The sequence below is a fragment of the Homo sapiens genome, chromosome 2 (assembly GCF_000001405.40).
Source record: "Homo sapiens chromosome 2, GRCh38.p14 Primary Assembly".
NCBI classification, from domain to species: domain Eukaryota; kingdom Metazoa; phylum Chordata; class Mammalia; order Primates; family Hominidae; genus Homo; species Homo sapiens.
In genome coordinates, this window is record NC_000002.12 from 195,878,960 (window position 1) to 195,905,254 (window position 26,295).

General features: G+C 35.0%; 1 protein-coding gene across 12 annotated transcripts in view; it reads right to left on the reverse strand.

Annotated features, from left to right (window-relative positions):
* The window catches only part of DNAH7 (dynein axonemal heavy chain 7), a 331,135-nt gene that overhangs the window by 141,257 nt on the left and 163,583 nt on the right, over positions 1 to 26,295 (reverse strand). For 10 of the 12 annotated variants that reach the window (XR_922968.4, XM_011511488.4, XM_017004504.3 and 7 more), the window contains 9 exons: positions 21,323 to 21,535; positions 18,708 to 18,806; positions 16,017 to 16,265; positions 12,696 to 12,845; positions 9,840 to 10,022; positions 9,299 to 9,475; positions 7,182 to 7,313; positions 5,626 to 5,850; positions 2,836 to 3,033 (listed from right to left, as the gene is read on the reverse strand). Coding sequence is in view for 11 of the 12 variants with exons in the window: in XM_011511488.4 (XP_011509790.1) it covers positions 2,836 to 3,033; positions 5,626 to 5,850; positions 7,182 to 7,313; positions 9,299 to 9,475; positions 9,840 to 10,022; positions 12,696 to 12,845; positions 16,017 to 16,265; positions 18,708 to 18,806; positions 21,323 to 21,535 (1,626 nt within the window). In the remaining variant the exon portion in view is untranslated. Of the gene's footprint in view, positions 1 to 2,835; positions 3,034 to 5,625; positions 5,851 to 7,181; positions 7,314 to 9,298; positions 9,476 to 9,839; positions 10,023 to 12,695; positions 12,846 to 16,016; positions 16,266 to 18,707; positions 18,807 to 21,322; positions 21,536 to 26,295 lie in introns of those variants that run through there. The other 2 variants (XM_011511490.4, XM_011511497.3) reach the window with 2 other exon arrangements.

Consider the following 26,295-nt stretch of genomic DNA (forward strand, 5'->3'; position numbering starts at 1 on the left):
TTTAGAAAAAAACTGTAGACTTTAGAAAAAACCTTAGTGTTTTAAAATAAACACTAGAAGAATTTTAAATAGTTTACGTACCCTTCCAAATCAATAGGAAGAACAAAATATTATAAACACACCATCATAACAGTAATTAAAAATGTTTAAAGCATATAAAAAGCTAAACAGAAAATGTGAATACAAAAGTATGACTCATTATGACAATTTATGTATGAGGTCAATTTCCTTATTAAAAGGAAAAAGGGCTCAGATTAACACAAATAAAAAATGCAGCGACACGCTGAGTCTAAATGATCAGAAATACTTAAAAAGAATAAGCAAAAATAGATCATGTAAATGAAAACAAAAAGAAAGCAAAAGAGAAGTAACTAAAGGGGACAATTAATAGAGTATGGTTCTGTGTATTGCTTACGTCATATATAGAGATAAAATGTACAAATCAGACCATTATCAGAATGTTGCCCTAATTCCAGGAGTTTATAGGTGATTTAAAAAATTCTAAATGGCACATTTTCACTTTTTATCAGGATGCCTTAAAAATTATATAAACAAAATTTATGTTTTCATAAGCTATCGTCAGGTAAGCCTTATTCTTCAGTTTAAATGAATACCTCTTATAATACTACCGCAGATAAAATTTCACTTGGTCTACTGAAAGATGAATATTTTTGATGTTTACATTTAACACTCAAAATTAAGTACATACTTATAAAAACTACTTGTTTGTTTATTCAATTTAATGATCAAATTATATGTGTTGATTAAAATTATTCTATAAAAGCTGTGTATTTATGTGAAAGGGAAAATACTCATTTGCCAATAGAGCTAATCTTTAAATGAGAAATAGCTATAATGAATATTAAATATTGTATTTGTTAACAATTATTTTAATCTAAGTTCTCAACTAAGTAAATTGTATGAAATTATAGACTCCTTCCTACCACTATCAAGATATTAAAACTCCCTCAACAGATTTGCTGTCAGCCAGTGTCTTCAGTTAATTTTTTTTTGTTGTATTGTTTTAACTTACATTTTTAGGTAATCTTTAAATAGAATACTACGTTTTTTCATCATTTATTTAAAATATAAATAGACATGCAATAATTTGAAGAGAAAAATCACTTTAAATTGTAACCCTATATTTGTATTATTTACAATACAACTAAATCTTAATTAATTGGGGCAATGAAATCCCCCTGAAGGGCATGGCGGACAATAACCTCTATGAGGAACAGCTTAATATTCATCAAAAAAATCAACAATTCCATGTCCAGGAATCTTAGGATATTTTCCTAAACAAATAAGCAAAGATAAGAACAAAGACTTAGCTATAAAAACGTTCATTGCAATCTTCTTTCTTTCTTTTTCTTTTTTTTTTTTTTTTGAGACGGAGTCTCACTCTGTCGCCCAGGCTGGCGTGCAGTGGCGCGATCTCGGCTCACTGCAAGCTCCACCTCCTGGGTTCAAGCGATTCTCCTGCCTCAGCCACCTGAGTAGCTGGGACTACAGGCGCCCGCCACCACACCCGGCTACTTTTTTTGTTTGCTTGTTTTTGTATTTTTAGTAGAGACTGGGTTTCACCGTGTTAGCCAGGATGGTCTCAATCTCCTAGTGATCCCCCCGCCTCGGCCTCCCAAAGTGCTGGGATTACAGGCGTGAGCCACTGCGCCCGGCCTGCAAACTTATTTCTAAAGCAAAATGTTAGAAAAATTAGGGATTTGAATCAATTATCATAAAATTATAGAATCAAATATTACAATACCCTTAAAATCATCTTGTAGAAGAATAATGAAATTGAAAAATATTTACAATATTAGTTTTAAAAGCAGATTACAGAAGTAAGTTCCTAAGTTTGTGAAAAGTAATGTTTTTATGCCTAGGCACTTTATTGCCTGGGCTGAAATTGATGAAGGTATAAATGACAAAAGGCTTGCATTTTCCTCTAACCACTGCCTTCAATCATGTTATGTCTCCATTCCCTGACCCATGGTGATATCTTAGATAAATCTCTCAGCTTTCTGTACACTTTTAGTTTTTTTTTTTTTTTAATCCAGGCCAAAAACACTCCCTGATTTAAATTCTCAGTGAAAATGTATCTCTGCCTCCTCTTGGATACTCCCATACATGCAAGCATTTACTTTATGAGAGATGTCATTCCAATCTTTTATGAAAGAGATTATTCAATAAATACTAGGATGGCTATGTAACTATACTGCCAAATACATTTCAGAAAGACTGTAAGATGTAATGTTAAAGTCAATAAAGAACTAGAAACAGGTACTGTGGGAGAATGTGAATTAACTGGAAGCTACAATCAAAGAGGGGCCCTCAAAAGTATCTTCATTCTCCTCCACAGGCTGCATAAAGCTACTGAGACTGCAGCATTTTCTATTACAGCATCTAGCATTATCTTAACTAACAGCCAATTCCAGACATCATTAAGGAAAATCAGTCTTGTTACTACATAATAATCCTTCAGATATAAAATAACTTAGAAAATATCAAGTGTAACTAAAACACACTTTTCAAGAGGTATGAAATTCTCATGTGGAACAAGCAATTCTTATTAAAATATCAAAATAAATGGGACAACAATTTAATGGTATAAAATGGCAACGTATCATTAATCAACTTTTGAAAATAAATAGGCAATTATCACTTCTTGGCCTTTTGGCTAAAACAAAAAAAAATAAGTGGCAATTTTTCAAAAATTCTCTGCAGTTCAAACATCAAAGTACTTGAGTATTTTTAAAAAATTATTTGTCTGCTATTTCAAAAACATTCTTAGGAAGATTATGCACAGTTTAATACGCAGATTTCTGCAGTACTTACCGTAATGTAAACACTTTTCCCAGTTCCTGTTGGTCCTACAAATATTGAAGGCTTTTGATGGGTGGTCAGCAATTCCATTAATGCAGAGTATCGAATTGTGTCCAGAGTTGGCACAATGATTTCATTAAACATTACATCTTTAGGAATTGGAGGAGCTTCTTTCAATTTCTTTATCCATGGTTCCCATTTTCCTATTCCCTGTTTATAATTAACAACCAAGTAATGAATGCTATAAAATACTTTAAAAAGCTCTATACTCCTGTGCCATTGTAGAAAAGACTAAGACCAACAAACCCTGATATGTATACATTTGTTTTATCCTTTAAGACACTTTACACTCAGTTTGAAGGTTAAATTGTACATGTAAATTAAGGAGAAACTAGCTTTTACATGAATACAAATGAAACAGCAATACTGTGGTTTTTTGATGCTCTGAAATCACTGCTTATGCCAACCTAATAATCAATTATTGTGGCCAAATGTTAGATTATTTAATGGCATTGAGAAAATCAAACTAACCAATAGGCTAAAGAGTAAAGAACTTTATTCAATAAATGTTAACCAATACAGAATTTTTTCTCCCTAGAAGATAAGCTGCATATTGCTTGACTTTTATAACAGTATTTATAACATTAGCTTATCATTGCAGGCAAAATTTCTTTTTAAAAAATGTATAGAAAAAAATATATAAAATTTACCCTTAACAATTTTTAGGTGTACAGTTCAGTAGTGTTAACTACGTTCACATTGCTGTGTAACAGATCTCTAGAACAGGCAAGATTTCTTAATATGAGATTATTATTATGAGTTAACATTGTGCCATATCTTTGCATCCAATTAGCTTGAGAACTAAAATTTTAATTTGCTATGACAGTGTTTATAACAAAAACATTCAACAACATCATGATAACTCTGTCTTCTTAGAAAAACACCACCACCCTTCTTGCAGAATAAAATCTAAATTCTTGGTCATTCAAAGTACATCAGAATTCGGACCCATCCTTCCTTCACAACCAGGCCTCACTGATGCACATGCTGGTCCCCCCACCCCGCTTCCCTGGGCCCGAGCTTTGATGCATGGCACTCCTTGGGCCAGAACGGCACATGACTGTCATCTGAAGAGGTTATGAACTCACTGAGGCTAGCACTGTGCTTTATTCATTCTTGTATCTTCAGGTACAAGGCTGTGCGTACAGCAGAGAATTTTTTTTTCGGGGTGTTAAATTCACATCACTCTGAAAATTGTATTATAAAGAAATATTTCTAGAACCAACGAAGAAAATAATGCCTTTCCCAAATTCTTGATAATCTTTTCAAACATGTGTCTTTTGATACTGTATAGGAAAGGAACCATTAAGAATCAGAAAACCTGGCCGGGCACGGTGGCTCACGCCTGTAATCCCAGCACTTTGGGAGGCCGAAGTGGGCCGATCACAAGGTCAGGAGATTGAGACCATCCTGGCTAACACGGTGAAACCCCGTCTCTACTAAAAATACAAAAAATTAGCTGGGCATGGTGGCGGGTGCCTGTAGTCCCAGCTACTCGGAGAGGCTGAGGCAGGAGAATGGCGTGAACCTGGGAGGCGGAGCTTGCAGTGAGCCGAGATCGTGCCACTGCACTCCAACCTGGACAACACAGCGAGACTCAGTCCCCGCTCCCCCCCCCCAAAAAAAAAGAATCAGAAACGCTGAAATGTACTGTTATTTAGAGGTTGTGTGATGCTGGGACAATCACATTAAATCTCCGAGCCCCATTTCCTCAATGGCAAAACTTGCAAAATAATCTTATCCTTCCCACTTCACCAAGGTGTTGAAAAATGAAATGGAAATAATTGCAGAAAGCTTAATAAACTGTAAACTACCCTGAAAATGCAGGGTATTATCAGCAATTTGAAATTAAATAAAGTAAAAATATCTGTGTTGGGCACAGTCGCGCCTTTTGGGGTGACATAGCAATACATTGCAAGAACCATAAAAATCCAAAAAGCAATACAGTAATGCCTTTTCTAGAAATTTATCTTAAGGATATAATCAGATATGTACCCAATGACTTGTATCTAAGAATATTTACCAAAGTAGTACTTATAAAAGTGAGAATCTAAAAACAACAAAAACAGTCCAATGTCCAAGGGTAGGAAATTGACTTTAGAAAGCATGTTTACTGAAGAAACATTAGTGAAAGGGAAAGCTGTTCTCATTAAGAAAACAAGAAGGATATAAAGCTGCCCATTGGGAATGTGGTATGATCCCAATTGTACTTAAATCTGTATATATTTAAATAACATATATTCCTAAACTTGGTCCTCAGTACAATACTTGTGGGTGGGAGTTGTTATACAAAAACCACTACCACCCAAGTTTTAGTTTCAAATCCGTTTGGGAAGCACTGAATTAAGATTATACCAGCTGGATTCCTACAGGACTTCTTAGTGCCTAGTATACTAACATGCACCATGAACTTCTAACAGCTGTCCTTAAACAGTATGTGCCTGGTGTGATTCTATTTAATGAGTGCAACTGGTCCATTAGATATTATTATCTCATAGTATCATTGGAAAGAACTATGTTCAGAGAAATCAACTAGTCCATGGCTATACAGAAAGAAAGTGACTTTACTAGGACTCAAACCTAGAGGTGTCTGACTTCAAGCCAGTGCATCTTCCTCTATTCTATGCTGTCTCTTATGGTAAATAGTGATGATGAAGGTGGCCACAGGGCCATTATATGCTATGTGTCAGAGAGGGGACTCTGCCAGGCTGGCAGCTGCAAATCTTGCTTCAGAACTCTTACCTCAGTGACAAATTGATAATCATAAATTGTTCCTTTTTCAGGAAATGGGACAGTTAGTGCCTTTGAGGATGTTTGCTCAGTACCACTCTGTAATTTAAACGTATTTCGAGTTCGATCTGAAATTGGACTTTCCATTAGTTCTCGAAGAATCTTATTAAATTTCAATCGATCATCATCTGTACAAGAAGCACCAACGGACCAGATCAATGAAAACAGAAAAATGCCCTGCATTGGACAGATGAGAAGATTAAGAACAATTAAAGAATAATTTTAATCTGTCCTTGAAGCTTACATATCAGATCAGCCAGATTAGTATCTCTGAAAGGAAACACGTAAGCTCAAATATATTAGTAGGTCATCTCAGGATTTTGTAATCATAAGGGTTTTTAAAAATCAAATCGCATGCTTATAAAATCTTAGAGAAGATGATACAAAACAAAGTATACATTCTGGCCATAGTGAAACTTCAGAATGATTAATCTAGTAAATCTCACATTTTCAACACATGACAGCAGCTTGATATTAAAAGGAACATAGAAATAAATTATTAAGGTATTAAGGCACACTTTAATAAGGCAAATAACCTACATATCCATTTTCTATTTAAATTTTGATATGGTGGGTTTACTTTAAGAACAAATTTAAATGATTTTATTTGTAATATCTGAGCATTAAGTGTGTAAACTAGAATTGCAATTCTGCAAGCAAAAGATACTAGCTTTCTTCTTTCCAGACTCAAAAAGAGGAAACAGAGTAGAAGACAAGACCTACCAATAAGGTAGGAAGCCTGTTTGCTTGTTTAAAACAAGGTCTTTTATTAAGTACAAAGCCAAGAGATTCTGGACTATGCTCATAAAAGTTCTGGACTCTACTTCAACCCTATTCACCTACTCCTAGTTTACTCACAGACTTTCTCTCCAGAAACCATTTAACACTAAATTAAAAATTAATTTCTTTTAAAACATATAAGTTAAGCAAGTACCATATTGACCACAGTAGAAGTGCTACCACGAGTAATGCAGTAATATTTTCATTAAAAAATCCAAAGTCTACTGATATTTTTATTCCCATTTTAAAAATTGGTTTATTTATTACCTACATATTTTCTTGCTTTCCTTAATCCAAATATCTATTTATACACACACACACATACAAATAATTTATATCTCATGAAAAAAGGAAGAAAAATCAAGGGAAATAAAGCAATAAATTATTATAGTTTGGAAAGGAGGTAAATCTCATTGCCAAAATGGTCACTGACATTTTGGGAATGGATCATGTCTAAGGCTGGTCAAAAGACCTGAGATTTCAGTAGCAGATCTGATGTGATCACTGGGCTCCGCCCGAACCTCATGATGCATCATGACTCCCAGGCAAGAAGCTTCCCCACCAGCACTCAGAATTTGGGGCCTGGCTCTTTGCTCATTCTTCAGCTACCACCCGTTGACTAGTCTCCAACTTCAGGGGCAAAATGAGTTTCACAAATTAGGAAGCTTTGGGGAAAGCAGTAGATACCTGTCTTTCTGTAGCAGGATACAGAAGGCAACGGACCTTACCTCAAGCAAAGAGTAAGTTTCTCGATCATTTCTCTCCTTTAGTTTGACTTCATCAGCAAAATCATCCATAAAACAGTCTATTAGATTCATTAAGGACCGGACCAAGTTTGTATCGGAAGTAGGAGATAATTCCTGAAAAGTCAGTAAGAAAAATGACTAAACAATTTAAATTAGGTAATAGCTAAAATAGCCCCAGCTAATATTTATTAAGCTCATTTAATTTTAACAGGTAGTAATAATTTTAAATTCATACTACCTACGAGTAGGTACTATTATTACAATTCACTTGGGAGAACTGGATGTTACATTTAGGTAGTGTGTACTCTTTAACCTTTCGCATCGATTCTCAAGTTTTAAAAAATTGCTGTTACGTGTGCAGTTAATTTAAGATATGGATTCCATGGTATACTAATTTTATAAATAAAAACACTAAAAAAATTTCAGAGACGGCAGTTAATTTCTATATCTAAAATGCTTAATTAGTAAAATCCATTTTAGAGCATATGTATAAGCCACAGCAATACTCATGGTAAACTCATCACTATGAAATACAATTCCAAGTCTTGGAGCCCTCAAAAGCCTTGCTGGAGTGCTGAACTTGTCGTGCACTTTACTCTTTTGCTTGTCACCATGATAGTTTATAAAATAAATGAAATAACGTGTAATGCTCCTAGAACTATGTAGCATATAGCAAGTTCTCATAGGCGTTTGTCTTCTCCCCACGCAGCTCTCTTCCAATTGCCAAGTCACATTGTTTGGTGATTAACAAGTAAAAATTAACTCTCTGAGACAGACTCCCTGAAGATTAGAGGCAGGTGACTTCATGTTCAGTTGCCACCCCAGTAGAAACATCAGAAATGACAGCTGAGTTTCTAAGTGTGGGACTAAGTATTACTGATGCAACACTAAAATACAAATAGTTATCATTACAAATAAAACAGATACTTATTACTACATAGTAAATAACAGGCATTCCTAATTTCTTCAAGAAATAACAGAAGTGCACAGCACATTTTAAAAAGCTTGCATTATAAGTGTCATGCTTTCCTATAGAAAGGATGTTTCAGTTACATAGAAAATTCGTTTATTATTTGTATTATCTAAATTCTCTGACAATGCTGGAAAAAAAACCCCATAAAGGCCCTGAAACTTATTTTATTATGACTTCAGTTCATATATGTTAACTGTTTTTGAAACATGATTACTTCGTATCTACAACATATTTCAGTTACAGCCAAACTTCTTGAAAGAGCAGGGTGGAAGACACATCACTTCCTTCAGATGTTCTTCCCTCTTTCCTCTCTCTTGTCTAAGTCACTCATGTACCTGTGAGTCTATCTCTTGCTCTCTTCTTTTTTTCTCTGGATTTTTTCTTTAGGTAATCTACATTAACATGGTTTTAAAGTCCATTTTCCAAATCTGTACCTTGAGCTAAACTTCTGCCTCAAGATTTTTTGTTATATCTTCAACATCAAGAGAACTATCAACCCTATTTCCCTACATTTGCTCCAGGGCCAAAGTCATTCTAAAAGACCTTTGGTCAGCATCTCCCAAAGCAGAAATTAAACATTCTTGCTCTGTAATTTCCAGCTAGAGAGAGTTTAAGAGCCTCGCTGAAGCTCATCAACTCTCAGAGGCAGGAGATTCCCATTTCCTTGTCATTTTCCTCCCTCCCACCATCCCCCTCCCTCCTCTTCCCCTCCCCAGTGTGTACTGAAAGAAAGAAAAATGAATTTGCCTACTTTGGGACCTCTTTCCAGTCCTTCTACCATGGACTGACTGGCTTATTTTAGGAACTTTGGATAATAAATAATATTGTAATAATGGAAATTATTTAAAATGCAATAGCCCATCAGAAGAAAGAAATAACATTTTGACATGGTTATGCGGGCCTTTGAGTTCTCTTTTTTTTAGAGAGAAAAGAGTAGCACCAATATACCTCATTTGAAATATTTTTAGTGAACTGCATGAATTCTAATCTAAATTTTTAATTTAATCAAAAAGGTTTTGATTTAATATCTCTTAGCTGATAATAAAAACAGACATTAAAATTGATATGTAAGTCTAATTTGAGTTTTCCATTTATTTTTTAATCTTAAAATTCTCATTTCCCTTACCTTTGTATGCTTTCTAATAAATTCAACCGAAACAGGGACCATTCTGTCAAATAAGCCCATTATGAATTCCTTTTGAATAACACTGACTGACGCAGGTAACAGATTCACCCAGGACAACATCAGTGGTCTCCAGCCTAACATGTGAGGCTCCATGTAAATCATGCCACATCTGGAAACCTGGAAAGCCATAATTGGTTACCATCAAGGTAATAATGCTTATAAAATAAATATGATTTGGCACCTCTGTTTTTTTATAACCTTCAGCAAAGTCTTGGGCGGGGGGAAGCTTAATATTATATAATTTCATGATGTCGATTTTTGTGTCTGACTTTACCAAATAGTCCTAAACCAAGAGAAAAACATCCTGACCACTAAATTAGTCAAGATATGTCAACAGATAACGTCTGTACTTTGAGAATCACAGATCGCTCTTAAAAGAAATTCTGCTAATATTTTTTGTTTAAAGTCAAAGGTACTAAGCAAATACATGCATTTATAACATTTTATAATTTATAAAAAGATGTCAAAATGGAGAACTTACAGTGGCAGGGGAAGCAACTTCTAAATCCATTGGCTCAAAAATTAGATTCATTTGTGGTGACATCTGAATAATCTCCCCACTCATCAGACATAGCTTCTTGTTGTCATCCAGCACAGTGTTCATATTCTCAATCCACACTGCATCTACTGGGCCATCAAAAATTAACCATTTCCTATCTGGAGTCTGTTTCATGCATATGTGAACAGAGGGCAAAAACGTAATGATGATAATATAAAGAAACAGTTCAATAATATTATTTCAAAATTTTAAAATATAAGTACTAGGATTAATTTCATCATGAAAACGTAAAAGCACTTTTTGAATAAAGATTACTATGTGTGTGTGTGCACAGATGTATATAATATGTATCACTAAAGAAGCCTATACTATATATGCCATGGACAAGACAGACATATGTCATCTTTTCTTAAGATTCTTTCTCTCTTGCTTCCTTCCTTCCTTTCTTTCCTCCCTCCCTCCCTCCCTTCCTTCCATCCATCCTTCCTTTCTTTCTTTTTCTTTCTTTTCTTTTTTTTTCAGGGTCTCACTCTGTTGTCCAGGCTGGAGGGCAGAGTGGGGTGATCATGGCTCACTGCAGTCTTTGACTCCCAGGTTCAAGCAATCCTCCTGCCTCAGCTCCCAACTAGCTAGGACCACGAGTGCGCACCACCACACCCAGCTAAATTTTTTATTTCTTGTGGTAGAGATGGGGTTTCACTATGTTGCCCAGGCTGGTCTTGAACTCCTGAGCTCAAGATCCACCTGCCTTGCCCCCACAAAGTGCTGGGATTTATAGGCATGAGCCACTGCACCTGGCCCTTGATCAATGTTTCTGAATTCAAATATATTAACATGTTTTAGAAAGTAATATAAGTAAAAAATATCTACTTTCTAGGAAAAACAAAATTATTCAGATTATCTGACTCTATATAGTACCATGTTTATGCAAATTAATTACCATTGTGTGCTAAAGCAAATTTCTTATCCCCTTCACTGAATGAATTCACACACATACATACACGTATACACACCCACTTGGGCTGAACTCTTTCCTGATGGTATAGAAAATTACAACCAATATAACATTCACAGTCCCACAATGATATAATAAATATGAAAATATTTATACATTGTCCAGAATATAGTAAATGCTCAACAGATATGAAACAGTAGCCAGGTATTAGCCAGAGTGTACAGAGACTGATTCTCCTTTTCAGATCCTTATAATTCAACCTTTTTTGTATACACCAATGATTCCTTGCTTTTCCTTCAGCAAATATGATTTCAAGTTGAAGTGGTGAAGGATTTGAATCCATATTAGCACGTTCTCAGTCCCTGCAGCCAACTGCATTAATCTATAAGATAACGGGTCTGTCTCAGGCTCAAGCCACCCCACACCCACACTCAGAGGCCACTTCTAGCTGTGTTCAGGAAGCAAGGAAGAGCCACAGCTCGGTGATCATCTTGAGATCAGCTTCCTCTCCTGCTGTGGGCTTCCCATGCCTGTTATGCATCACTTTGGGAAACACTACCGTGCAATGGCGAGACCTTGGGCTTCACAGTCTCAAGGACCTCACTTTTCATTTGACTCTACTACTTATGAGCTGTGGACTTCAGGTGAACTACTTAAACTCCCTGAGACTCAGTATTTGTGGGACATAGCTTCCTGAAAAATGTAATGTAAGTTGTAAGTATAAAATAGAGGTATCTCATGATTATTTCTGTGTAAATAATATAACTGTATATATTATCTAGTGACTTCATCTCTTATTCTGAGCCAGAGTGCCTCCATTGTGGCAAGATAGGACCTAAGAAGCCACATCAAGGGTTCCAGAGCTCTGTCTGCTTCACTTGTGCCCACAATTTCTTTTATCCTTGAAATTACTAGTAACACTTGACTTTGGGCAAGATCTCTGCCCCATGAGAGTCAGTCCTTATGTCATTCATTGCCTAAGGTCTTTCCAGCAATAAGAGCAGAGCTGAGATTTCACGTTTTATCCATTATTACCTGACTCATGAGTCATGCTCTGCTAGGTCCTTAAGTGGGTAGACAGCATCAAGTTTAGAATGTATGGTAGTCAGAAGAAAGAAAACACTTATAAAAAGAATGATTTGATAAACAACTTAAACGTCCTGAGCCTAGGCCCCTTTTCCTATACTACCAGCTTTAGCAAGCTGTCTCCCGTATAATCACATGCTCTGCAGAACCTGCTAAAATATGGCAACCAAGTTAATATGTATTGGTCTGCGGATTCTTTTTATGGGAGTGGGCAGCAGAATAAGCCAGGAGTAGGTTAAGTGCCCACTCTCCATTCACAGCCAGTAGCAGCTGGCAAGCCACTTGTCTCCTCTGCTTTCCACAAGGCAGTCATTCTCTTTCTAATATGCTAAAGGAAAAGTGTGGGAACTTTAAGACATCATTGTGCAAAGGTGTGCAATTTCTTCTCTAAGCATTGGCGTATATCTAACAATTAGCAGGCATGACAATAGCAGCAGCCCACAGAGTGGGTGGAGGAAGAACATTACTGAAGAGGCAAAAGGATCATGTCATTCAGATATTCTCATTTTTAGTTCATCTCACTTCGGAGAAAATAACCAGAAATACTTTGCCCTGGCCTTTTTTTTTTTCTACCCTCTCTTCTGTATTCCTCCAGGGTAAAGGAGCTTGGTCTCTGGCATTTTTGTAGGTGCTGACATTTTTCTTCACAGAAATACTGCCAGAATATCCAGTACTGTGTTTTAAATAATATCTTAATCTATAGATACAATTAGTTTGTTTGAAAAAAAAATCAGAAATTGGTCAGAAATAAATATCTTAACCTTTTAAGATATGCATGTGAAAGTGTTAGAACTTACCACTGAAGAGGCAAATGCTCTAAAACTGACAGCAAGGACCCCATCAGACCATTCATGGGACACTGAATCAAACTGTCCGTACAGTTGGCCCATGGTGACAGACTTAGGATTTAAAACAGTTATTTGAACTTTGTTTTCTTCCATTAGCCCCTTAATGAAAAAAAAAAACATTTATTTATGTAAAGAATACTGTCTTTATTCATAGAAAACATTATTGCACATACAGAAAATCCTAAGGAATCTACAAAGAAAGTATTAGAAGTAGTGAATTTGACAAGGTCCCAGCATACAAGGTCAATATATAAAATCAATTATATTATCTATATGCAATGCTAATTAACGATTGAAAAATAAAATTTAAAAAGTATTCACAATAGTATTTAAAAGCTCACAAAATACTTAGGAAGAAATTAGCAAATGTTGTGCAAGATCTACATATCTTAAACTAAGAAATGGGTTGGCAAATTCTTCTGTAAAAGATAAGATGGTAAATATTATATAGGCTTTGCAAGTTTCATATCATCTGCCACATATTCTTCTATGTTTTCTTTTTTTAATTAACAAATGTTTAAAATGTTAACACTATTCTAAGTTTATTGGCATTACGAAAAAAGGCTTGGGGCTGAATTTGGCCCATGTACTGTAATTTGCTGACCCCTGCTACAAAACAACCTCTGAGAGAAAATTAAAAGATCTAAATATACAGAAATGTCTATTTCTTGTGGAGTGAAAAAGTTAATGTTGGTAAATTGTCAATTTTACCCAAAACCCTGAAAGCTGGTCTATGGCATTATAAGAGATATTAATGCCCTTTGGACATAATCTTTTTTTTTTTTTTAATTAACTGGCTTTTTAAAAAAAGGTTTACAGAAAAATTGAGCAGAAAGTACGAAGATTCCAGATACTCTCTCTACTACCAAGACACAACAGTTTTCCTTATTATTAACATCTTGAATTGGTGTGGTACATTGTTATGGCTGATGAATTCATATTAATGCATTACTATTAACTAAAGTCTATAGTTTACACTAAGGGTTCACTCTTTGTGTTGCATAATTATATGGGTTTTGCCAAGTGTGTAGTATCATTATCCCCCATTATAGTACCATACAGAACACTTTCACTCCCCTAAAAATCCTGTGCTCCACCTATTGGCAATCATTTATTTTTTATATATAAAAACATAACAAGTTCAACTCTTTCTAATATTGCCTTCTGCCTGGCACTCCCGAGCTTGGGACACAAACTACCAAACTGGAAAAAAAAAAAAAAAAGTGAGAATATTAACCTTTTTTTTTCTTTTTTCTTTTGAGATAGGCTCTCACTCTGTCACCCAGGCTGGAGTGCAGTGGCACAATCTCGGCTCACTGCAGCCTCCTGGGCTCAAGTGGTCCTCTCACCTCAGCCTCCTGAGTAGCTGGGACTACACATGGCACATGCCACCACGCCCAGCTAATTTTTTGTGTTTTTTTTTAAAGTAGAAACAGGGTTTCTACTTTTATCCAGGCTGGTCTAGGACTCCTGGGCTCAAGTGATCCGCCTGCCTTGGCCTCTCAAAGGGCCAAGATTACAGGAATGAGCCACCACTCCCGGCAGAATAGTAATCTTCTCACTCTGTCACCCAGGCTGGAGTGCAGTGGTGCGATCTCGGCTCACTGCAAGCTCTGCCTCCCGGGTTCACGACATTCTCCTGCCTCAGCCTCCCTAGAAGCTGGGACTACAGGCAGCCGACACCACGCCTGGTTAATTTTTGTATTTTTAGTAGAGACAGGGTTTCACCATGTTAGCCAGGTTGGTCTCAGTCTCCTGACCTTGTGATCCGCCCGCCTCAGCCTCCCAAAGTGCTGGGATTACAGGCGTGAGCCACCGTGCCCAGCCCAGAATAGTAATCTTAAACAATAAAACAAGCTCAATATCTTTGCTTTCTTTTGTGTGCCAGGAAGGCGATAACAATGTATCTTCCTAAATTAAGAAGTATAGGAAATCTCTATTATCTTCTTAATCAGAACAAAGTTGCTGTCACCAAAGAAAAGTTTTTATCCTAAATGCAGCAAGGCTAGTGTGAAGCGATAGCTTGGTTGGCTAAGGAAGACTGCCCTATGACATAATCACAATGTCACCCTTAGAATTCCCTGGTAATGAGCCATTTAGACTTTACAAGTGGACCAGAATACATGCTCATATCTTCATCTCCTTCTACTCTTTGAGCAGTGACCTGTTGGGTTCTTTTGGAGACTTTATTTTATATATGTATATATATATAAAAGATCAGTTCCTATGACAATAAAATAACAAAACAGGAAAAATACAAATGAGCCATAAATAAGATAAAGAATGCAGAAGACAATTAAGAAGTGAAAAAATGGAAGAAAAAAGAGAAGGGAAGTAAAGAAACAAAACAGCATGGAAGTGTAAAAGCAGAAGAAACAGATGGCAGGAATAAGTAGCGTATCAGTTTGTATAATAAATACAAATGACTTTAAACTTATCTTTGAAAAGATAAAGACCACTGATCTGTAGAAAACAAAAGTCAAGCTATTTATTCTCTATAGAAAGTAAATCACAGTGACACCCAAGGATATAATTAATGACATGGGCAAATATACATACAGGGAGAAAGTAGGGGTAGCAATATTGAAATTAGACAAAGTAGATCACAACAAATAACAGAAAAGTAAGTAATTTCATATTGATTGAAAGGGAGACTCTTCAAGTAAAGATATAATCATCACAAACCTCATATAGGATATGAACATTGAAATTTATAAAGTGAAAACTATTTGAAATATCTATAAGGAGAGGTAAATAGAAATGCAATATTAGTTGAAGTATTTAAAACAGCCCCACTCCTTCAGCATTTCAAAGTCAATCAAAATGTGATGTGTATAAGAATTCTGAATGTGTCATTATATATGTGTGCACATATGCACATATACACATTTCAGTTCAATACCACTAGCAGCCAATAACAGAAGCTTGCATTACAAATCTATCTAGAAAATAAAAAAGACTCCTCTGAAAGTATTGCAGGAAAACCTTCAGATTTTTCTGTTTTCAGACTTTTTTCTACAAGAGACATGTATTACTTTAATAATTTTTTTAAAAAAGAAATAAAAGGTCGAAAGCAAGTTTGTGGCATACCCTTTATATGCTGAACTTCCTATTTGCTTCATTTTACTTTTCTAAAACTTTATTTTCTCTTTGACTCATTTTTCTCATGATTTTAAGTTGCCACATTGAATGCATCTTTTAAAATAATGGTACATTCTACCTTGCACAAAGTCAATTATAAATAAATTAATGCATTAATAATATACTTGCCTTTTCACATATATCATTTAGTGCTCCAGCTAAGACACGATATGCACTAGTTTTTCCTCCAAATGGTTCTCCAACAATCATAAAACCATGACGCACAATCATCATTTCATATACTTGAAGAATCTTCTCGGAAAAGAATGCAGTCATTTGCAAATTCATGGAGGCACAATTGTCTTTGATAGCTGCCAGCAAATCATTGTAATCTGGTTTTGGTAATTTTACCCCAGGAAACAAATCCGAAGTAATTCCCTGATGATAGATGATTTGAAGGATTTACATTTTATATATTTATATTAAATACAAATATTTTGTATTGATGGAAATAGGGCCATTAGATAATAATAGTTCAACAATATTTTTAACAGCTTTATAGAGGAATAGTTCACATACGCAAACGTGTATTTTTTTCTTTTTTTCAATTTTTAAATTGTGATCCTTATGATGTTCGTTTTGCAAACAGTTTTTGTTTTGGTTTGTTTTGTTTGAGACAGGGTCTGGCTCTTGCTCAGGCTGGAGTGCAGTGGCACGATCATGGCTCACTGCAGCCTCCGCCTCCCAGGCTCAAGCCATCCCCCACGTCAGCCTCCTGGGTAGCTGGGACTATAGGTGGCAGTATTTTAAAGTATAAAATTTCATAAATAAAACCGTCAAAATAACCAAGATAATTAACATATCCATCACTCTCAAAAAGTTTCCTGTAACCTTTTGTAATCCTCCTTCCCTCCTCTCCTTGCTGCCTCCTACCTCCATCCCCAGATTGCCACTGATCTGTTTTTGGTTACTATTTTTATTTGCATTGTCTAGACTTTAATATAAATGAAATTAGACCATATACATACTACTTTTTCCCTCTGGCTTCCTTCACATGGCATAAATATTTTGAGATTCAAACATGTCACAGCAGGTATCAATAGTTTATTCTTTTTTTTTGCCGAGTAATATTCCACCGTAACAAAGTGCTACAGTTTTTAAATCTATCCACCTATTGATGTGCATTTTCACTGTTCCAGTTTTAGGCTACTACAAATAAAGTGACTACAAACATTTGTGTGTGAATTTGTATGAACAAATGCTTTCATTTCCCTTGGGTGAATACTGAGACATGGAATAACCTGAATATGGTGGATAGGTGTTGAACATTTTAAGAAACTGCTTAACTGTTTTCTAAAGTGGTTGTACTAAGTCATGTTCCTCTAGCCATGTATAAAAGTTCCAATATTAGGTATGATCCATCTTTTAAATTTTAGCCATGCTGTGCAGTGATATTTTGTTACGGTTTTGATTTGTATTTTCCAATGAGTAACTTCTTTACCTGTGCTTAGGCCATATGTTTATATTTTTCCTGATCTTGTCTTTCATTTTCTTATGTGTCTTTCAAAGAGTAGTTTTTTTTTTTCAATTTTGTCAATGTATTCTTTTATGGATTGTGTTTTTTGGTATTGTACTTAAGTAATCTTTGTCTAACACAAAGTCACAAAGGTTTTCTGCTAGAAATGTTAGAGCTTGAGGTTTTACATTTAGTTTCATGTTATTTTTAAGTTAAAAAGTTGGAGTCCTGACTTCTAGTTCAAAAATGGCAGCGTAGAAGCAAGTGGACTTCACTCCTCACCTCCACTTGAGAAATACTGCTTAATAAATGTTTGCTGAATGAATATACAACTGCATGACAATACATCTAGTGAGGTATATTTCCATATTCTGAAAATAAACATAGGTTTTACTCCTGGAAAATCTGTACAGTGCACCAGTACTAAACAAATTGAGGGAAAACTTTAAGGAGAAAATCTGAACTCTTTCCTTGTTGATTTGCTCCATAATATATTTGCATGTCAACTCTAAATACTAAGTAAAGCTCTTTTCAGAATGATGAGACATGGCTGCCATCGGTAGCTAATGACACTGGACAATACTAGCAACAGCATCTCTTCTCCCCTTCCCCATGACATAACAATATCTTCAGTGCTAGGAAAACTGGATAACTATATGCAGAAGAATGAAACTAGATTCCTATATCTGGAAATATGTAACACACTGCAAGCTAACTGCCTGAATTCCAAAACAGCGTAAGTTAGTCCAACATCTAACATTTAGGAGGCACTCACTACCCCTCTGAGTTCTTCTACCTGGTATGGAGAAGAGGAAAAGAATGACACCAAAGGATATTATGAAAACTTTAACCATTATTCTAATACTTCCTCTCAATTACTCATAATCTTAAATTATAATAAGATTATTAAGCTTAGTTCTTATGTTATCATAAAAAACAATTTCATAAAAGTCATCTCATTTAAGGAAATTAAGCATATTTATCTATTTTATTTCTTCAGTCATTAGTTGAACAAGCATTTACTATATCTATACTGTGCTAGGGATTCAGTGGTGTGTTAGACCAATTATTTTTCTTTACGGAGCCTGCATTCTAGTGGAATTTATAAGCAAATATTTTGTAACTTTCATGTGCCCATTATTTTCTGCAGTAACAAACTTAAAAGTACTATTTTAAAATCCCAAGTTGTTGAAAGTTCTCAAAGTGACAAAGCTAGCTAAACACACTTCAAATAAAATATGGAATTATCTATGTTTCTCTGTACTGTGTCATTGTTTTCCATAGTGGGAGCTTCACAACCTTAGACATGTGATAAATACATTATTATAAGAGTTTTGATGCATTGGGATAATGAATGTTCTTACCTCAAAGAGTGGTAAATCATGGGATAAAAATTTTGGCAGATTTACATCAATGATAGATCTAAGCAGCAAAATTTCTTCATTTTCATTTGGATATTTCAGCTAAAAAAAAAAAAAAAAACTCATGAGGATATCTGCATCTCCTAACAGCACCTACCCGCTTCGTGTTCGCATACACACAAACCTACAGACCCTGTAACTCAGTTTAAACAAATGCAGCTCTTCTTTCTTTATATTGGATTGTTATGAATTTTAGAAACTGACATTTAAACTTGTTGTGTTTTTTTTTACTAGTTTATAATAAAAATACAGGTTAAACTAACTACCTTTTCACAGATATGCTAAGTAAAGAGGTATTAACATGAATTAAATATAGTTTGGCAGCTGCCATCCCTTATATTGGGTAGAGCTTGCTTGTTCTCTGCATGTATTCATGACTAGCAGTAGACTGGTCAAATGAAAATTATTAAAAGTGGGCAATCATTTTGAAAAGAGGCATTTAAATTTAAAACATATAAACATTCACTAATTTTCCCATATTTTGATGCCAAGGCCTTTTCTCTGCATATACAGTTAGGCACAATTTTTTTTTCCAAAAGCATCAATAACACATCATCTATTCTATCTTGTTGTGTTCTGTTTTTGTTTTTTAAAGAGGCCAGTGCTCTTCAAAGATACTTGTAATATAATTTAAGTGTATCATTCTGATAAATTTTTAAGTTTTTCTTCAGTTTTATACACACTTCTTATCAACATCTTATTCAAAGTCAAAATTTTAGCATTTCATCGTTATTGAATCTTTCTTAAACATGAACTTAGTTTTCACAGGAAAAAAATTCCTTCTTTCTATGCTTATATATCATCAGTTTTCGCACCATGCAGTTAGATGACATAATAACAGTAACGTGTCCAAGCGGCTTCAAAAAGGTTCAAGAACAAGCAAACCGGCTCTGAGTAAGGAATGCAGCTCATCTGACAGAAGCCGAAGTGGAAGGGCAGAGCAGGGGATGCTGCTGGCTGCACGCCCAGAACGCCACATGTTAGCAAGTTCCACAGAGAGAGTGGAGACGGCTGGTCATGCACTAAGTTAGTTTAATAAAGTGTGTTTAAGAAAACTCACATTAGATTCCAAAATATTTGTGGTGTACCCAAAGTTTACTACAAATCTGGTTGAACTCTTAACTTGTTACTCATACCTATAATAATGTTCACATGAATTTACAAAAATCCAAACTCAGAATTATTTCTTCCAACTTTAATACATTATTCAACATCTCACTCCAAAGCTTCTCCTACCACCATGCATATAATTTTCCAGAACCCTCTCCCTTTTCTCTAGAATCTCTCTGCCTAATAAATGCCATATTCTCACTTAATTAGCTTCAGCCTTACAAAGTGTGTGATGCCTAGCAGTCAGAGTCAGTCTCTGAAACTCGAGTTCCCCAATGACAGAGCATGTCCTGTTGATCTGGATTTTGTTTTTGGATCAATCTAACTGCACATCAATTATGCAGTGTCAGAAGTCTCTTTTGTTCTTTGAGAGGCTGTTATTTTAAAGCAAATGCTTAAATTGTTTCTTGCTATAATAGAAACAAGCTTCAAAATATTCAGGCCAGAACATTCAACAATTCTATATTAGCTTTGAAAAAGAATGATAGGATTCATTTGCAGGATTCATTTGCTGCATAACTTTAATAGCTCAATTCCATAGTCAAGATTTCAGTGATGACATACACTAGGACAATGCATTATACTTCCCATTATCTGACCACAATCTAATCCTGACATGCCAACTTAATACAAATTGTTGCCTCTAGTCCCTTTTGTTTATTGCAACAAACAATGACCTGAAGTTATGTCAGGCTAATGTGAAATAGAATATCACCACTATATATCAGAATTCTTGATAACATTATTATGGAAGATAAAAATGCATCCTATTGTTCTTAATCACATAGGATATAATTTAAAATCTGTATCTTCTACAAATCATGAATGTGAAAATTTTGCAAGCTCCAAGGTCACATTTTGCATTTTTCTATTAAGTAAGCCTATCTGATTTCATAAAGAACTAACTAATGTACAGTTATATTTCATGGTTCTACAATATACTCTCAATGAAAAGTCAACCAAAGCTTAAAGTATTTGGGCTTTCATATATTACAGTTATAATTTAGACCATTTTGAAGGTAAACATCATACTGCAAATCTACTACTGCTAGTCCACAGTTGGCTGCAATTGTGTAATTATAATAAGTGACAATATTTAGAATCTTTTGTGTATATTTATTATACTTATTTCATTTAATGCTATATTTGTTTATATGTTTATATAGACTGAGAGCATTCAAAACATTTCTCAGGAGTAAGCAATTTTATTCCTTGGTAGTACCCCGTTAATGAAACAGAACTCAAATCACTAAGAATTACACGTGTAAGGTTTTACAAATCATTATAAAATTTTTTTCATGTGTACAAGATAATACATTTTTGGTTTAATAATTGATTTTTTTCAATCAATTAAGGAAACCAACAAGTTATTGGAATTCTCTGAAGACCCATTAGGCTGGAAATCTACAAATAGGAAATTTACAAGTAAGAAATATTGTGTTCTCTACCTTCAGATTCCCAGCAGCAGTAAGAACTGACTTCACGGCTCTCATTCCATAGTCGTAGTGATGTTGAGATGACAGCTGCTCTGAACACAAGCGATACGTAGCCACAATTTTTACAGACAGTGGTCGAGCAGTGACAAACCCACAGGAGTATAGGACTATTTCAGCAATCATGGCATAGTCAGGTACCATCATTGCTACTGTCCGAAAGAGAGCCTATGGGTAGGTAGAAAGTTACTTTTAAAAGGATCATCATAAAATAAGCTAGGCATGGAAAGATAAATACCACACGCTCTCACTAATATGTGGAGGCTAAAAAAGTTTATCTCATAGAAGTAGAGAGTAAAATAGTGGTAACTAGAGGCTGGGAAAGGTGAGGTGGGGCAATGGGGAGAGGCTGGTTAACAAATGCAAAATTTCAGGTACATAAAAGAAATAAATTCTAGTGTACTGTAGCACTGTGGGGTGACTATAGTTAAAAATAATTTATTCTATATTTTTAAATAGCTAAAAGAGAAGAATTTGAATGTTTCCAACACAAATAAATGATAAATATTTGAGGTGATAGATACACTATACCCTGATTTGATCATTACACATCGTTTACATGCATCAAACTATCACTCTCTACTCAATAAATATATACAATTATTGTATGTCATTAAGAATAATTTTAAAAGGCAAAAATATATAAATAAAGAGGTTAGGGAATTAAATAAAAAGACCATTGTAAAGATAATCATGCTCTTTATTTCATAATGTTATGACTTTATACCTTTTCTACAATAGCATTAAATTTTAATGTTCATAGTCCATTAATAATAATGTATTATATTCTTGAAATTTGCCAAGAGAGTAGATCTTAAGTGTTACCAACAGAAAGAAAACAGAAAAAGTATATATGTGAGGTGGTGGGTAAGTTGATTGGCTTGATTAGGGGTATTGTTACACGATGTATATGTATATCAAAACATCACATTGTACACCTTAAATATGTATTATGTTTGTCAATCATACTTCAATAAAAAAATCATTGACCTGGAAGTTTAAAAAGTAAACAAATAAACAGACAAATTCCTGGCTTCTGAAAATATAAAATAAAATAAATTTTAATGTTCAAATCATATAGATAAAAAGCAACTTAAAAAATCAATTTCCTGTTGTGTATATAATAAATATATCATTAGCTTTTTGTATCAATTCTTTTTCGTCTAAGTGTTCAATTTCAATTACATTATATTCTTCATGGGAAGCAACATGTTACAGAACCTCAGACTCTCCCAGGATGTTCAAAAGTTGGGTTTCTCATCTGGGCTGCTGAGTGTCCCCACGTTGGGAGACCTGGCTTCAAGCGAGGCTCTACAGGGATCTACTTAATTATATAATCTAAGGTTTACCAGATTATGTTAGTGTTAGACAAATTATCCATTTTGAGATATTTTTAACTTTTTTGAATCTGAAGTCACAATGTCAGTCTTTCAACAAGCATAATAAAGGAAAGAAAACCGGAAATAAGTAATACACAATTATTATTAGAGATAAATCAATTTTACAAATTGTAAAGATAACTTTTTCTCATGATATTTAAAATACTGAGGTTATATGATGTTTTTGATGGTAAGTAAATAGAAAACAATATATTTTGAAAGAATAAATAAGAATTTAGGTATAGAATATTAGTATGTATGAGGACTCACTTCAATAGCTCATGTATTAAAACATGGCTTTCTTGTACAAAATATGGAAGACAGCAATATTCTAAGGGAAAAAGAAGTTATTCTAGTGAATGACAATCATAGTCAGATAGTTCATAAGTACATTCTGGGAATTAGTTGAATTACCAAAAACTCAAGGTAGATAGAAAATAAGAACATCTTGTTTAAATGATCTGTTATGACTCTTCTAAGTTGAGAACAATTCGAAGATTTGTATCAAGTAAGAACCTTCTAATGTGTTGTGTTAATTACTAGTTAGAGGCCATAGTGCTGCTATTTTATCAATAAGGTTACCATTAAAGAATGGAAAGAATAAAATGTTTAAAAAATATAATTTGAGCAAATAACTTGAAATAAAAAAGCTTAAGCAAGTGTTCTAACCACTACACACATCAGGGAAAAAAGAGCATGAGAATTGCTATACAGTTGGTATCTCTTTTAAAGGGTAGGTTCTCAACAACTACTTTTTTAAAGAATAAAAGAATGACTGAACTAACAAATCAGTCAGCCAGTCAATGGGGTTAGGGTGGTAAAGTTTTTCTACAATAGCACAAATTCCTACTAGTTTGAGGTCAACATCCAGGACTGTGTGTTGTAGGTTTCCCTTTGACCACCCTAGTTACTTCACAAATATCCTATTCACCTCTTAGCACTGTTAGCAATACGGTTGTGGAAAATGATGAAGCAGACATATTTCTGACTAGTAGAACAAAAAATAAAGTGAGGTAAACAAGTGTCAAGGGGTATCATGATATTCCATTTATTAGGAGTCCTCCACCAACGATTGAACAATGATACTTAACACAATGAAAAACATCCTGATTGAAATATTTTTTAAGCCTAAACCAGTGATTCTCAAACAGGTTGTGCAGCATACAGATATAATGTTATAATGTGGTTCGATTTTGGATGTACCAGAAATAATTTGTTGGTAATAGCAGTAAGTTTGAAGATAATTTAGTGCTTTGTTAAAAAAATTAAATTGGATTCTAGCTTAACCAGTGACATAGTTTGTTGAGTGTGAAAACAAAGAGGGTACAGAGCCAGGTAACATGCCAAGACTTGAGTAAATTCCAGTGCATGTAATCCATGTGAACATAATCTTCATGTTTATCTCAGCAAAAATAAATGATCAAGAATAGCTGTTCTACTGCTTCTGCTCTATTGGTGGAGGAAGGGGGGTGGTACATAAGGAAATGTGTATACTTTCTGGAGCATGCTTTCAAAGGACTACATATTGGTACAATAAAAAAAAAATTAAGCAATAACTTTTTACCATTTACTTTTAAGGAACTGCAAATCGATTTTATAAATATTTTGATCTGTTCAGGAACAAGCTGGATTTTAGTTGAATGAAATGGAGGATTTAGGATCTACTTTGTTTTTTTCCCCTCAATACTATTAGTGTTTCACCCTACATATACTCTGAAAAGCTATGTATCACTTTATTGGCTTTGTGACATTAGGAGATCTAGAATGTGTCTATTTTACCGTGGCTTCTAACAAACTATTCTAAAATGATCATTGACTACTGATTCTTCAGAATAGTTTAAATCTAAAATATAGCTTCTCTAAAGTGAAGATGTATTTAATAAATTGCTTTATTATGCAGATTTTGTCTAAATGTAACAGGATGTCAAAATGGGACTCTTTCTGTATGATATGATACATCAGTTACTACAGTAAGTATGATCTTCTCAATATACAAAATCTGCAAAGGAAATGTCTACAACCTTGAACCCTCTCGTCTACTTGTAGATTACAAAATACTTGAGAGAGGAAGGAGTTGTGAAAATATTCCCTTTGAAGGGAGCTGTCGTTATGCTCTGAGTCCCCACAACCCTCCTCACTACACCCAAGTTCTGTGAGAGCTTGGTAGATACTCCTGCATTTCGGGAGACATGGACTGGTGCCTGACTCATGTCTGAAAAAGGATAGTGACCTGTGGTAGCAGGATTAATACCCAGGGTTTATTGGGAAAAGGATTTATGAGCGGTACACAACAAAGAAGGGCCACACTGAAGCTCTATAAGTGCTGCCCTACATACCTTCTGGCAGAGTGAGAGCTCTCCAACAGTGAAGTTTACATGGAGTTGACCACAGAGATCCAGGCAAAGAGAAGGCAATGACAACTGGAGAAACAGAATCCATCACTCAAGCCTCAGGAATTACAAGTAGACTCCTCCTAATGGGAGAGTCTCTGAAGAACCCATGGACATGCACATGACAGAACTCAGCTATAAATCTCAGCCAAGTCCAGGGACTTCACCCAGAAGGTCAGATCTGAACTGTACATATGTTTAGCGTTTACTGCTAGTTTAAAGGATGACCATGAATTTGTCAGACAGGAAAGAGGAGGCTTAGAGGAGCACTTGAGAGAGAGAAAATAGCATGTAGAAAGGCAAGGGACCTTCAGAGGCTAGTGAGGCCCAGTGTAACAGACAGAGGCAGGGAAATGGCAGGACAGATGCAACTGAGTCCTTATGCCAAGGCTCTTGTAGATTGTACTAAGAAATGTGAACTTTAGTCCATGGACAAAAAGGAGCCCAGCAGTTTTTTAAAGCTGAAGATTATATGATTAGATTTCTTTTGATAGATAACACTGGTAGCACTGTGATGGGGAATTCATTATAATGAATTTCAATAGAGAAGAAATTGATGACAAGTGAACTATTGCAATAAGACATATGGGAGAAGACAGAAGGCAGGGAGCAGCAAGGTGTGGCAGGGGGACCAGGTCAGTACAGCAGGGATTGTAGGAGTTGTGTGAAATGGAAACCCTGGGCTTGGTGACTGACTGAATCACCAGGTGAAACAGAGGGAGTTTTTGAGAATGATTCCGAAAACTGGTAATGATACTTTCTGGGCCCCATCAGGCTTTTATTATTTTTTAAGGAATATGTAACTCTTTCATTTCAGACTTGTTAGGTAATTGGTATTTCCATATATACCTGAAAACAGATGCTCTGTAGAAGCTTGAACCAAGAAGGCTGCACAATAGGAGAAGCTATGAGAATTGAGAACAGCTTTTGGCCTCATGTAGAAGGAAAATACATTATCCCCAAGAACTACCAGGTGAATATGTTAGCACTGTTTCAACCTGCACAGTAAATAAAACCATGGAAAAGTCTGCAGAGGGCATTAACAAACTCAACCAATAATGGCTCCCAGCTTTCTATAACAAGCTACTCACAGATTTTTGCTTTTCCTACCTTTGCAAATTTACATATTCAGATTGATCCTACCAAATAAATGAATAAC